This window comes from Homo sapiens, chromosome 13 (assembly GCF_000001405.40).
Source record: "Homo sapiens chromosome 13, GRCh38.p14 Primary Assembly".
Lineage (NCBI taxonomy): Eukaryota > Metazoa > Chordata > Mammalia > Primates > Hominidae > Homo > Homo sapiens.
Window position 1 is genome coordinate 51,173,626 of NC_000013.11, and position 14,294 is coordinate 51,187,919.

At 37.9% G+C, this 14,294-nt stretch overlaps 2 annotated features.

Moving 5' to 3' along the window:
• Nucleotides 200-1,119: an enhancer, noted in NCBI's record as "OCT4-NANOG-H3K27ac-H3K4me1 hESC enhancer chr13:51747961-51748880 (GRCh37/hg19 assembly coordinates)". NCBI's record gives its function as "activates a minimal SCP1, AML or CMV promoter by ChIP-STARR-seq in naive H9 embryonic stem cells {active_cell/tissue: H9 hESC(naive)}" and the evidence as "EXISTENCE:reporter gene assay evidence [ECO:0000049][PMID:30033119]".
• Nucleotides 1,120-2,038: an enhancer, noted in NCBI's record as "OCT4-NANOG-H3K27ac-H3K4me1 hESC enhancer chr13:51748881-51749799 (GRCh37/hg19 assembly coordinates)". NCBI's record gives its function as "activates a minimal SCP1, AML or CMV promoter by ChIP-STARR-seq in naive and primed H9 embryonic stem cells {active_cell/tissue: H9 hESC(naive and primed)}" and the evidence as "EXISTENCE:reporter gene assay evidence [ECO:0000049][PMID:30033119]".

Here is a 14,294-nt window from a genome sequence, read left to right on the forward strand (position 1 = left end):
ATTCCTCAGTCTAGCCTTCCCACCTCAATACAGTCTGATAACAGACGAGCCTTTATTAGTCAAATCAGCCAAGCAGTTTTTCAGGCTCTTAGTATTCAGTGAAACCTTTATATCCCTTATAGTCCTCCATCTTCAAGAAAACACACCTCACCAAGCTCAGCCACCAACTTAAAAAGGACTGGACAATACTTTTACCACTTTCCCTTCTCAGAATTCAGGCCTGTCCTCAGAATGCTACAGGGTACAGCCCATTTAAGGTCCTGTATAGATGCTCCTTTTTATTAGGCCCCAGTCTCATTCCAGACACCAGACCAACTTAGACTGTGCCTCAAAAAAAAAAAATCCCAAAAAAAAAAACTTGTCATCCCTACTATTTTCTGTCTAGTCATACTGCTATTCACCGTTCTCAACTACTCATACATGCCCTGCTCTTGTTTACACTGCCAGTTTACACTGTTTTTCCAAGCCATCACAGCTGATATCTCCTGGTGCTATCCCCAAACTGCCACTCTTAACTCTTGAAGTACATAAATAATCTTTGCTGGCAGGACTATGCTGAATCTCCTTAGGCACTCTCTAATCAGACATCCTGAGTTGTCCCAATTCTTAGGCCTTTTATACCTGTTTTTCTCCTTCTGTTATTTCATTTAGTTTTTCAATTCATACAAAACCGTATCCAGGCCATCACCAATCATTCTATATGACAAATGTTTCTTCTAACATCCCCACAATATCACGCCTTACCACAAGACCTCCCTTCAGCTTAATCTCTCCCACTCTAGGTTCCCACGCCGCCCCTAATCCCGCTCGAAGCAGCCCTGAGAAACATCGCCCATTCTCTCTCCATACCACCCCCCAAAAAATTTTCACCGCCCCAACACTTCAACACTATTTTGTTTTATTTTTCTTATTAATATAAGAAGGCAGGAATGTCAGGCCTCTGAGCCCAAGCCAAGCCATCGCATCCCCTGTGATTTGCACGTATATGCCCAGATGGCCTGAAGTAACTGAAGAATCACAAAAGAAGTGAATATGCCTTGCCCCACCTTAACTGATGACATTCCACCACAAAAGAAGTGTAAATGGCCGGTCCTTGCCTTAACTGATGACATTACCTTGTGAAAGTCCTTTTCCTGGCTCATCCTGGCTCAGAAAGCACCCCCACTGAACACCTTGCGACCCCCACTCCTGCCCGCCAGAGAACAAACCCCCTTTGACTGTAATTTTCCTTTACCTACCCAAATCCTATAAAACGGCCCCACCCTTATCTCCCTTCGCTGACTCTCTTTTCGGACTCAGCCCGCCTGCACCCAGGTGAAATAAACAGCCATGTTGCTCACACAAAGCCTGTTTGGTGGTCTCTTCACACGGACACGCATGAAAGAGTCCTCATGGAGAAACTCTACTAGGGCAAAGTGGAGGGGAAATGCAGGCTTGGAGTCCCCCACACAGAATCCCCACTGGGGCACCGCCTAGTGGAGCTGTGAGAAGAGGGTCACTGTCTTCCGGACCCCAGAATTGTAGATCCACTGACAGCTTGCACTGTGCTTCTGGAAAAGCCACCGGCACTCAATGCCAGCCAGCCGGTGAAAGCAGTCGAGGGGACTGTATCCCGCAGAACCACAAGGGTGGAGCTTCCCAAGGCCTTGAGAGCCCAGCCCTTGCATCAGTGTAGCCTGGACGTGAGACATGGAGTCAAAAGAGATTATTTTGGAGCTTTAAGATTCAATGGCTGCCCTGCTGGGTTTTGAACTTGCACGTGGCCTGTAGCCTCTTTGTTTTGCCTGATTTCTCTCTTTTGGAATGGGAGTGTTTAGCCAATGCCTGTGCCCCTATTGTATCTTGGAAGTAACTAACTTGTTTTTTTATTTTATAGACTCATGGGCAGAAGGGACTTGCCTTGTCTCAGATGAGACTTTGGACTGTGGACTTTTGAGTTAACACTGAAATGAGTTAAAATTTAGGGGACTGTTGAGAAGAGATTATTGTATTTTGTAGTGTGAGAAGGACATGATATTTGGGAGGGGTTGGGGTGGAATTATATGGTTTAAATTTGGGTCCTCATTACCAATGCCATGAAGCCATCCTACAAATCCTGGGCTGCTTACACACCAATTAATATGGTTTCAATTTGTGTCCCTGACCAAATCTCATGTTGAACTGTAATCCCCAATGTTGGGGTAGGGGTCTGGTGGAAGGTTATTGGATCATGGGGGCAGACATTCCCCTTGCTGTTCTCATGATGGTGAATGAGTTCTCATGAGATGTGGTTGTTTAAAAGTATGTAACACCTCTCCTCCTCTCTCTGTTTCTCCTGCTCTAGCCATGTAAAACGTGCCTCCTCCCTCTTTGCCTTCTGCCATGATTGTAAGTTTCCTGAGGCCTCCCAACCATGCTTCCTGTACAGCCTGTGGAACTGTAAGCTGATTAAACCTCTTTTCTTTATAAATTACCCAGTTTCAGGTAGTTGTTTATAGCAATGTGAGAACAAACTAATATACCAACTATGACATGAAAGAGAAAGAAATCTCTATCTTGTTTAATCAACTATCATTTCAGATCTCTGCCACCATGACCAAGGCTATAGCTTAACTAAAATCTCTTTTTTCAGAAGGTTATATTTTCTCCCCATATCCCTCTTTAGGATCAAGTATTCTCTCAAAGGAATTTAGGTAAACACAAGAATAACACATTTTGGTGGGAAACCCTTATTGGTTACAGAACACCTTCAAAAGCTAATAATTTTGCATTCAAAGAAATATATGAAATTAAGAAATTTTGAAAATAAAAAACCTTAGCAACATCCAAGGGCCTGTTAGGGTAGATATTATCGTTTCTAAGATGCAGTGATGAAGTAATGTGTATTAGAGAAGCACATGCTGCATTCATTTAATTTTTAACCTTTTGGGTGAATGTCCCTTTTTTTAGGAACGTCCTGAAAATATGGATGTGAACATAGTGGCTTTGAAATCAAAGAGAATCAAGGCCAGGTGCCAGCTCAGCCCCTTAGTAGCACAAGCAAAGTCTTTAATTTTTCTAAGCATTAACAACTATTCAGCGAACGGTAACTCAGACCTCATGCAATAGGAAAAGTAAAAGCAATGATATACAAATTCACAAACAAATAAATATAAAAGAGCAATAAGCATATGGGAAAAAGTCAGCTCAATAGATACCAGAGGAGTAAAAATGTGGAAGAATTATATAACTCGAAGAATTGTCCCAGAAAATTTGGAACCATATTAGAGTACCTTACGTATAGTAGAAGCTTGGCAAGTGTCCATGGTTGGTCCAACCAGCTCTGAATTTTGTTTGCATTTCACAGCAACTAATTCTTTTAATTTCAGGGAAAGTGGCTGTGTCTGCAGCTTTATGTCTGTCTTACAGAAAAACTGGTTCAATATAACTTGAAGACTAGAGGGGGAAGTTATAATAATAGACAGTTGTGTTTGGTTTACATTTAGATGCTGGTGAGCAGATATACCCTTGAACACAGAAAAGGTCACAAAACATGAAGTCAGGAGCCACTAGTTTTAGTCTGAGTTCTACCATCTACTGGCTCCATCAAATTTTGGTCAGCCTCAGTTTTCCCATATGAATCTATGGCATTACATGTTTGTTTGTTTGCTTGTTTTTAATTAATGGCCAGATACTTCAATTAGTACAAACATAGATACCAAGCAATGAAATAAACCCCGAAGAAGTGAAATGACAATGTGTAGCAAACAACCAACTACAACTCAATGAGCAGGAGGAAGTGACCTGTCCTCCAGGATGCAGACAGTGCAAAGGAATGAACTACAAAACCCCCACACCTTCCACATTCCCAACTGTCCTGAATAGCCAAATCCATGTGCCATTATTTCAGACTGCAGCTCCCACCAAACACACACACATAAACACTCACATACCTTTTCTATAGATCTCTAACCCATCTTTGTCCCCTACACTAGATTTCAAAGATTGACATTTCCAATCCAGTGTCTACCTCTATACATGCTGTAGTCACATGTCTGCTGCATTCTCCAAACTCTCTGGAACTAAACTGAATGTCTCAAGCCTCCATGACCTGGGCCTGTAATCCCATTGTTTGTTCTACTTGGTGGAGAGGTCTCAGAGTCTTTTTCCCAACTCAGATGCCCCTGCTACAAGGTAATACCTAAAAAGCCCATTGAAAAAATAAAAATAGCTGGGTGCAGTGGCTCACGCCTGTAATCCCAGCACTTTGGGAGGCCGAGGTGGAAGGATCACTTGAGGTCGGGAGTTCAAGACCAGCCTGACTAACATGGAGAAACCCCATCTCTACTAAAAATACAAGATTTTTACAAGATACAAAAGATTTTTACAAAAATACAAAAAGATTGTGCCAAACCCATCTATCTGAGTCCTTTCCCACTGCAAAATTAGCCAGGTGTGGTGGCGCATGCCTGTAATCCCAGCTACTTGGGAGGCTGAGGCAGGCGAATTGTTTGAACCCAGGAGGCGGAGGTTGCAATGAGCCGAGATCAGGCCATTACACTCCAGCCTGGGCAACAAGAGCGAAACTCCATCTCAAAAGAAAAATAAGAAAAAAGAAAAAGAAAAATGAAAAGCTTATTGAATCAAAGTCTCCCAGCCTCACAATGACACCCATCACTAGGCCACATCTCTCTTCTGCTCTTATCCTGAACTTTGACCAGAGTCTGCCCCTTTGCGCTCAGGAAATTCTAGAACTCCCACAAATGACACTCACTTGGCTTATTAACTTCCAAGTGACAAGCTGAGTAACAGTAGTCTCCAGTCCCTTGCTTGTCCCCTTGCTGAACAGCAAGTAATGAAAGGGCAGCCACAAAGTTCAGAGTTCTTTCAGTGCTTATTGAAAAAGAGGCAATATGTTTAGGAAAATGTCCCCCTCTCACAAAGTTGCCTCTGCTCTCAGGGGTCTATTTTACCCTATCTTTGTCCTGAGTTAATCACCTCTCCATGGTATAATTAGAATGTCCACATGTGATTCCTAGGTAGAAATGGGTACCTCTGGGGAAGAAGTCAGGCTTCCCACACAGCAGTCGATTGACGAAGTGCCCACACCTGGTCAAGCAGCACTGGGCTCAACCCAAGGACCACCCTACGGGGTCATTATTAAATAGAATATAGGACACACGCCAACATCCTGAAACCACAGAGCTACATGTTGTTTTTGAAGGTGACTTCTCCATCACCCCTCCAAATGTTCCCTTTACATGTTGTGAAATTCAGCTCCTAGATTGACTTCTCATGCCTTCAACAATGCTAAGCTTTCAAAATTCCTTGCAGTCCAGTGCCTCACCAGGCCAGCCAGCTGTCTTGGCTGATAAATTCTGCATTAGCAAGAGAGATATTAAACTTGAAGTATTTCATTTCCAAGAGATGTGCTATATTTTTTTCTTTTGTATGAATTTTCCTGGAAAAATAAAATTGACATTAAGTTCCAGGTTCATCTGGAAGACCAGAAAAACTCTCCCTTCAGTGAACACACTTCTCTTAATACCCAGGAGTGCCCATGGGCAGTCACTATACCTCGGTGAGAAAAGGATGGGTCTTGGAGGACACAGACCCGGAGTTGAATCCAAATTCTCCAGATCACCAGCTATGTGACCTTGAACAAATTATAAATCCTTTCTGACTCTTTGTTCCACTATCTATGAATGGTGATGGTGGTAATATTACTTTGCCAAATTAGCAAAAAATGCATGTATAATATCTGGCACCTGATATGAATTCAATGGATAGAGGCTAGTATATATCCTACCAGAAGGATATAACCCTAATCATAAGTATATATCCCTTAGTATTTATCCCTAATCAGAAGGGATTAGGAACTTCACCTTTCATTCCAGACAAACCTGGCTTAGTATCCACATCATTACTATGATTTGGGAAAAGTTATTTAACCTCCCGAGTTTGTTTCTCTCTGTAAAGTATCAGTGAAAACTAACGTATTTCTTGTTGGAAGGATTAAAGGCAATTTTTATAAGCACTTAGCACATGGTATATGTCTAATAAATGGTAGCTGCTATCATCCTTGATGTTGCTACTACAGTTGTCACTTGGTATTAATGAGGGAATTGGTTCCAGGACCCCCTCGGATACCAAAATCTGCAAATGCACAAGTCCCCTGCTTAAAGTGGCATAGTATTTGCATGTAACCTACACACATCCTCCTGTTTAAGTCATTTCTAGATTACTTATAAAACCTAAAACAATGTAAACGCTATGTAAATAATTGCTCTATTATATTGTTTTTATTTGTTTTTTTAATTGTTGCATATTTTATTATTTTTTCCCCGAATATTTTTGATACATGGTTGGCTGAATTTGCAGATGCAGAAACCATGGACAGGGAGGGCTGAATGTATTATTATTGGGCACCTTCCCTAACGCTGGCTCAGAATGCCCCCCTCAGCAGAATTATCTACCAAGTATTCTTAAGAGGCAACTCCGTGTCTTGGAGGCCACATTTCCATTTTGCCCACATTGCAGCTGAATCCTGGGTAGGAGAACAAGTGAAGATTTTCACTTCTTGATTTTAAAATTCGTTAAGGACCTTTGTGGCCTCCTTGAAAAATGTCTGTTACCCAGTCTTCAGAGTGATTAGGAAAGCTATCAGTCATGATTAAGATTTCCTCTTCACAGGTGGAAGAATGGTCCAGGGAACTACGAACCCAGGGTTATCCAGGCTTACAGGGCTGAAAGCCCAGAATGACTCAGTGCTACATGTTTTAAGGGAACCAATAAAGATCATTATTGTTACTCAGCAATGACATTCCTGCCACACAGCGCAGGCTCTCTACATTTCTATTTACAATCTTCATGTTAATCCCCAAGTAATATTTAGATTGTTGTGTAAAACCCTAAATTCTGCTCCAAAAGAAGATTGTGCCAAATCCATCTATCTGAGTCCTTCCCACTGAACTCCTCATCTTCTTGCCCAGAGGTAGTCCTTCAATCATTTCCTCCAGAAATCTTACTAAACAAAGAACAGCTGACTGCATTTGAATGCTCAAGACCTAAATTGAATGGGGAAGGAAAGAGTTACACAAAAAAACACACCAGCCAATTGGCTTCAACTCACTTGAACTATGAGAGCTTCTAAAAGGTACCTTTCATGAATAAGGTTGGAAAAGGACTACACTCAGTTAAATTCTTTGAACAATCATGACAAAAGCCAACCCTATATCCAGCAGAAGTTGAGTATAAAAGGGTAGAGACTGCACTGAAAAATTGAAAAGTAAATTATTACATGCAAAGCATGTACCTTTGCATGAAAACAGAATTTTATGACTGTACCATCTCTGTCTATTAGCCAATAAAGTTTTAAATGATATTTTTGATGATGTCTCCAGACCCTAAGTGTTGGAGTTTCCACAACAGAGCACTCAGATGAGAAAGAGACAAAAAAACAAGCAGATGGCTCTCTGGGCACGACCATCTCTGTGGTAATCATAAGGGTGGGAACCTCCCTAACAGGTATCCAGGGTTCAAGGATCAATGCCCCAGGGGTGATTGTGAATGTGATAATTAGTTCACAACGTTTGTACTCATGCATGGTAAATCTGTAAACCAGAATAATCATCATTTAAGTATATGTAATCATATAAATATATATACATAGATATCTATATCAATCTAGCTATCTATATCATATGTAATTGTGTAGCCAGGGCAAATCCTCCTTAGCACTGACATCCCTGGCTGGCAGCCTAATTAATAATCAGCACTTTATTAGGCTATTGCCATTTCATATTATCAGTATCTGTTTCACTCTTCAAACTTCCAAGTGAAATATCCATTAAAATATATTTAAAAGACCAATACTAGAAACATTTGTTATTAATTTTTAATTTGATGTATAATACACTGAATTTATCTGTCTATATTATATATATCCATCTTTTAAATTATTTTGCTTGAATCTTTAATCCTTTGCTTGCTTTAATTGTCAGAGACTGAATGTGGTATCTAGCGATCTCTTAATTCCAGCATCCTGACCTTAGCCCTCCCCACTCCACTGCCACCAGCCCAAACAAATCTATTAATAATCTGGCACTAGTTTCCAACATTCTCAACAGGCTTCATGACAAAAAATAATTCTGATCAAATAATCCAGTGATAGCAGTTGCTAAAGATGCTTACAATAACTAACAGAAGATTTTTGAGAAACGAATTATCACTCCAGATATCTCTGAAGAGTGTCTTGAAACACACTTGAAAATTGATCATATCATATCCCACAAAGAAAATCACAATAAATTCCTCAGTAAGCTCTGGTGGCATTGGGACCAGGTTTCCCATGGGGGTGGCCAACTAGTTAAGCACCCTTCTTTAGATTTCCTCGTTTACTTCACTAGCACCACTCTCCTACTCTTTGGATCCCATCCCAAATAAACCATCTGCCCATAAGCCCTTATTTCAGCTTTGTTTTCCTTGAAAACAAAATCTAGGATATGTTCTTTCTTTTGCACTTATTGTCTGCATCCTGCTCAATTTGGATTCTTATGTCCAGCAGTTTCTCCTCAGTGCATGTTTTGTCCTACAAGGGGGCTGCACTTTGTTAGTTTTGACAGTCCATGGGGTCCAATCCACTCTAACACTCACCCGTAAATTGGAGGTTGCAAAGTGCTCCTGAAGTTCTGTTCTCAGACCAGCCAGCTGCACTTTCCTATGAAAACCTGTTAGCAGTTTCGAGGCTTTTCATCCTTGATCTGTCAGAAACCCCTCTGCTTTCCCTTCTTTTTCATCTATAGGTAGGTTCTGATAATAAGCAGATTTGGTTACTATGCATAGTTCACTTGTATTTGAGTGTTCATGTGAATACCTTCTCACATACTTGTATGTAGGGGTTCACATGAATACCTTCTCATGGTGCTTTTGCTGCAGATTTCTCTATTCATTTGGGTTTGCTCTCCTAGTGGCATTCTATTCCATTCCATTCCACAACCACACGAGTAAAGGATATATTCTGTAAATAATCTGCAAACTCAGTGATTGAGAAAAATAGTGGTCATCACTTTATAACACATACTAAAATAAGCTGCAAATGAACTGAGATAAATCTTAAAATGTAAACATAACAAGAAGAAATAGTAGGCAAATATGTATCTTATTTGTGAAGAGGAAATTGTTTTTCTAAGCTTAAAATCCTAAAATGAAAAGAAAAAAATGATACTCATTTATATTAAAATTTCAAAAACTTGATATAAAATAGTTAAACAGTAAGTTTAATGCAAGTTAAATACTAAGCAACAAAAATACTGGTGTTAATGTGGCAAAGGATTAATTTTTAATATATGAATGCTATGAAATATATCAGTATGAATGATACTAAAATCTAGATAGAAAAATGAGCATAAGGCATGAACACAGAATTTGTAATAAAAGCAGCAGAAATGACTAGTAAATGTGTGACTAATTTGCAAGCTCTCTAGCAAGCAAAAAAAGTGCAAATTAAAACAACAGTATAATATCATTTTTCTCCAAATTACTAATTTTTAAAAATCAGGTAAGTCCTGATTAATTTACTTATTTCATAGTTTTATAATTTCATAAGTAAGTATTTCATATTTCATCATTTAAGTAAATTAATTAATTAAAATGTTGTTTGGTAAAATAGAGAATCAGAGCAAAAGGAGGTAGTATATGAAGGTATGTCAAACTTGCTAAGCGTTGGTAACTTCAATGCATCATACTTCTCCATTACAAGGATGAATCCAGTCCACAGATTAGATTTGTCTATTTGCTACGGCATCCCCTACCCAGGAAACATATTAGAAAATAGTTACTCTGTAATTCACCTTTTCCCAAACTCTTTGAGGACTATAGTCTTTCTCTTTGCTCTTGTTAGGTCACCCTTCTTTATTTATTTTCAAATCTTGGTTAATGGCCTCACCATCTAATTTGTCAACCTAGCTGGATCCTAAGATATCTTTAACTTCTTCCTGTACCTTATTCCTCTCCCTGACAAGTAGAACCTTGGGATGCCAATTCAGATGTAATATCCAGGAAACTTAAATGGACCCCAAATATGGGGCATTATTTGTGGTGGCATTCGCAAGGGAGTGGTCCAAGAAACAGTGAATCAGAGAGCTGGGTAAATTTCCAAAAAGTATCACATGAGGGGGCTAGATGAGTGACGTTCATACCATCTGTGAAATGTTGTAAAATACAGATGCCCAAGCTTCTCCACAGACATGTTCATCAAAAAATGCTTCCCTCAAATTCATCAGTGACTTCCTTACCACTAAATCCAATGGGCATTTTTTTAACCTCATCTTGACTGAACTCTCAGCAGAATTTGACACTCGGAGGAAAAGCTCTGCTGGGCTTCTTTGGCACTATGCTCTGCTGTTCCCTTCTTCCTCTCTGGCCAAGGCTTCCAGTCTCCTTTTCCGGCTTTTACGCTGTTTAGTCTTCAAATGTTGATGTTCCTTGAAGCTTGCTTTTTGTCTTTTCTTGCTCCACAAACTTTCTCTGACAATATCATATCTTCACTTACTGTATACATGCCAAAGACTTCTACAAATATATCTTCAGATTTAATATGCTCTTCTGAGCATATTAAGTCAGGTTAATAAATGCTCGTTGAATTCACAAATGACAAACATTTCAAAAATGCATAGTTACTTTCTCTTCTACCTCATTTTAGATTAGTACATTCTTGGTGACATGGAAATCACCCTTATATCATAATCTATATCTCCAATTCTTTATTTCTATAATCAGTAAATCGCACACCGAGTTTGAAAATCGGTATAAACTTTAATAGAAAGAGTTTCTCTTCAATGATCTGTCTTCTTTTTGACTTGCAAATTAGTCATCTCACATATTATTTATCCCATTGTATTTAGTATAATAATTTGCACATAGAGTTCAGTGAAAATGTATTATATGTTTGATTTTGTTTATTCCTTAATTTCCCTAGAGGAGGCCAAAGTAAAATTTGAGGTATTTCTATTTGGTATAATCTGATGTAATTTTGTATGGATTGATCCCACATAACAACATCTTCCAATTTGTACCTTTTTGCTTTGGACTGTTCAACTTTGGGCTATATTCTCTCTGGAAACTAAAAATACCACAAGTGATTGTTGCAGAAAAATAGTATATGGCTTTGACAAGCATAATAACTGAAATCAAGCAATTAGAGACTGTCATAACTGCACAGAAACTGTATAGAAAATAAACTACTTATAAATATCTACATAGCCAATGTTTTTAAATGAATATTTCAGTACGAAAGTGTTTGCCTTTTTATGTATCTTACTCTGCTTCTTATCTTGTCTCATTTCTTCTAGTCATAATCCTCCCTTTGTACTTTTACAGAGTAATTCAGAAAAGAGATATCCTTTCTTTTAATAATGTTGAACTATAAAGAGTCTCCCCAAAACTACCTCTAACGCGTAATCATTTCTGTTTTAGAACATCTTGTTTACCCACAGTCAGGAGAGGCAGAATTCCAAAATAAAAGATTTTTTAAAAAAATAAATTGACTGGTATAATAAGAGTGAACTCAAACCATTTCAGAATTCTACTTTGTCTCTTTATGCTCAGTGTAGATGTTGGGACTGGAGTGTTGACAAAGAGCCTATGTATAAATTCTTCCTTCAATTTTTTTCCAGAATAGGAACTGCCCTAGATCAGCAGGGTTAAAACTTTACAGACAATTAGTCAGATGTGAAAGGAAACGTAGCCTTGGTTTATCTATCTCCTGAGCTCCTACTCAGTGGAGAAATATAGGGGAAGATGAGACCGGTGAGTGACACGGGGATCTTAATCAGTTATTGTAATATGCTCTAACCTGTTTTAAGTAAGTCCCTTTCAATATTTTTTTTCCTTTGAGATAATCCATTTCATTTCCAACTCTTTTCTCAAAATGACATCTTGGGGCAGTTTATTTTTAGCTGTAAGAGCCAACAAGTACACCCTTCACCTCAGAAATGAGGTAACAGAACTCGGGGAAAATAAATGAGAAAAATCATTTCAGAAATGCAGACTAAACTAGAAGCAACACAGAGCATCACAACAGTGATGGTGTAAGAGAAATGGAAGGACAACAAGAATACATTTTTTAAATTGAAAAGAAATGTAGAGATAAAAAGAATTAAAAAAAAAATAACAAATATTAAAATTAGGCAAAGGATCCATTTTATAGGTAATAGGAATCCCAGAAGAAGAAACCCAAAATAAAAAAACACAATAAATACTAAAAAATATAATTCATGAAAACTTTCTTAAAATTAAAAGATATGTTTGAAACTATATACTGAAGGGGCCACCATGTATTTGAGAATAATGACCCATAATGACCAACATCAAGTCATGTTTCAGTAAAATTACTAGACTTTAAAGAGAAAGAAAAAACACTGCAGTCATCTAGATAAAACCAGTATATTTCTGATGGCAAGTAAATTGCCATCAGAATTCCAGAATTTTTAGCAGCAATACATATGCCAGAGAAAGTAGAATAACAGATTTTAGACACTCAAGGAAAACTGAACCAATTATTATATAACCAGCTAAACTGACTTTCAAATATAAGGGCAATAAACTATTTGACATGGCAAGAACTTAGGAAATACTATTTGCATGAGCCTTTACTGAAGAATATACTAAAGAATGAACTTCAAATTTGATTGAGAAACATCAAAATAAGGACTGGTGAATATTAAATATGCATTTACTTGTAGAGCTAAATTATATTTAGGATAAAAAGGAAAGAGAACAACATACAATGTCTACATGTTCAGGCAGCATAGATTTTATATAATTGCAAAGAGTAGAGGATGATAGGGAGCACATCTGCAAAAACAATTTTAACTGGTGGTGGTAGAACAGTATTACTGTAGATATTCTTATCTTAGACTGTGTGTGCAATGAGGAAAAAAGAAAATAAATACTTATGAAATTTCTAATTTGATTATTCCTCAAGTCCTTGAGAACCAGGATTCTTAGATTCTCAGTATGGAAAAACAAGATACAGAAGTAATATAACAGATTAAGAAAAAACCTTACATCTCTGAATTTTAATTAAAAGTATCGATATAAATTCATAAGACTACATAGCATAGAGTTGTCGGAGGTATGTATTAACTCTGCCTACTAAGAGCCTAGAAACACCCAGATTATGGTATTAAAATACCCTTTCTACCCAAAGAGGCTTGAATATCTTTGAGGAAGTGACTGATTCCAAGTCCGAGGCAGAAAATGAACAAGATGCACTTTGTTATACCAGATAGCAAGGAGGCTATCAAAGACTACTAGGGCCATGTCAAAAATACTGAGAAACTGACTTGAAGAGGCTCCCACTGGCCAAAGAAGGAACAAGTGAGCTTCAAAGGGATAATTGCAATCATAGACCCATTAAATCAATGAGTTTATAATAACATTTTTTAACCCAAATTGTTGTTCACCTTCAGAAAATGATAGAAAATCAATTCATCTTGAAAACTATTAAATAAATGGAAAGAAAAAAGTATCATCCTGTCTTTCTGTATGAACTAGTCCACTCCATAACCAAATTGCAGATGTGTGAAGTGTCTCCTTATAAAGAGTTTTACACTAAATAAACTGCAAGAAATAATAGAATTAAAATTTCACTATTTCCAAATCCCAGGGAAGTAATGAATCAAGGCATTGAGCATCAAGAGCTGCAACTACAGAAAGAAATGACCAGACATTATGTGCCTCTTCTCCACAGAACACACCACGGCCTACGGCCTTAGGAGAAAGGATTAAGCATGAATCTGATCAAGACTTTGGCTCCAACTACCAATTTGCGGGAAATACACAGGATGGAGGAAGATGTTGACTCAAGCTATGATTATGTAATTTAAAAATCCACACTGTAGATAACTATTCAGGTCAAATGCAACAGATAAATTTTAAGAGGAAGAGATGGAGGGAAAACTAGAGATTAAGAGACTTAACAGCTGTTAATTTTTTAAATGGACAAGATTATACTGTCTATTGATGTACATTTAGATAATAAAAGTATTTAAATATTACACATGATTGATTGCCAGGTTAGCTTATTTTACCATATAAACAGAGTGGTGTATTATTGGGGAGGCAGGGATTAAGACTAGGGTAGACCTTATGGAGGGGCTTCTGGAGTGACTGGTGAAATTCTATTTCTTGACCTGATTGTTTGTCTTATAAGTCATTAAGCAAACATTTGTTTTGTAGCTTCTTTTGCATCTGGTTTACTTTTAAATATAAAAGTTTTTTAAAGTTTATGTGAGCATTCACTACTCTTTACTGCTTCTCTATTGTGCTATTAA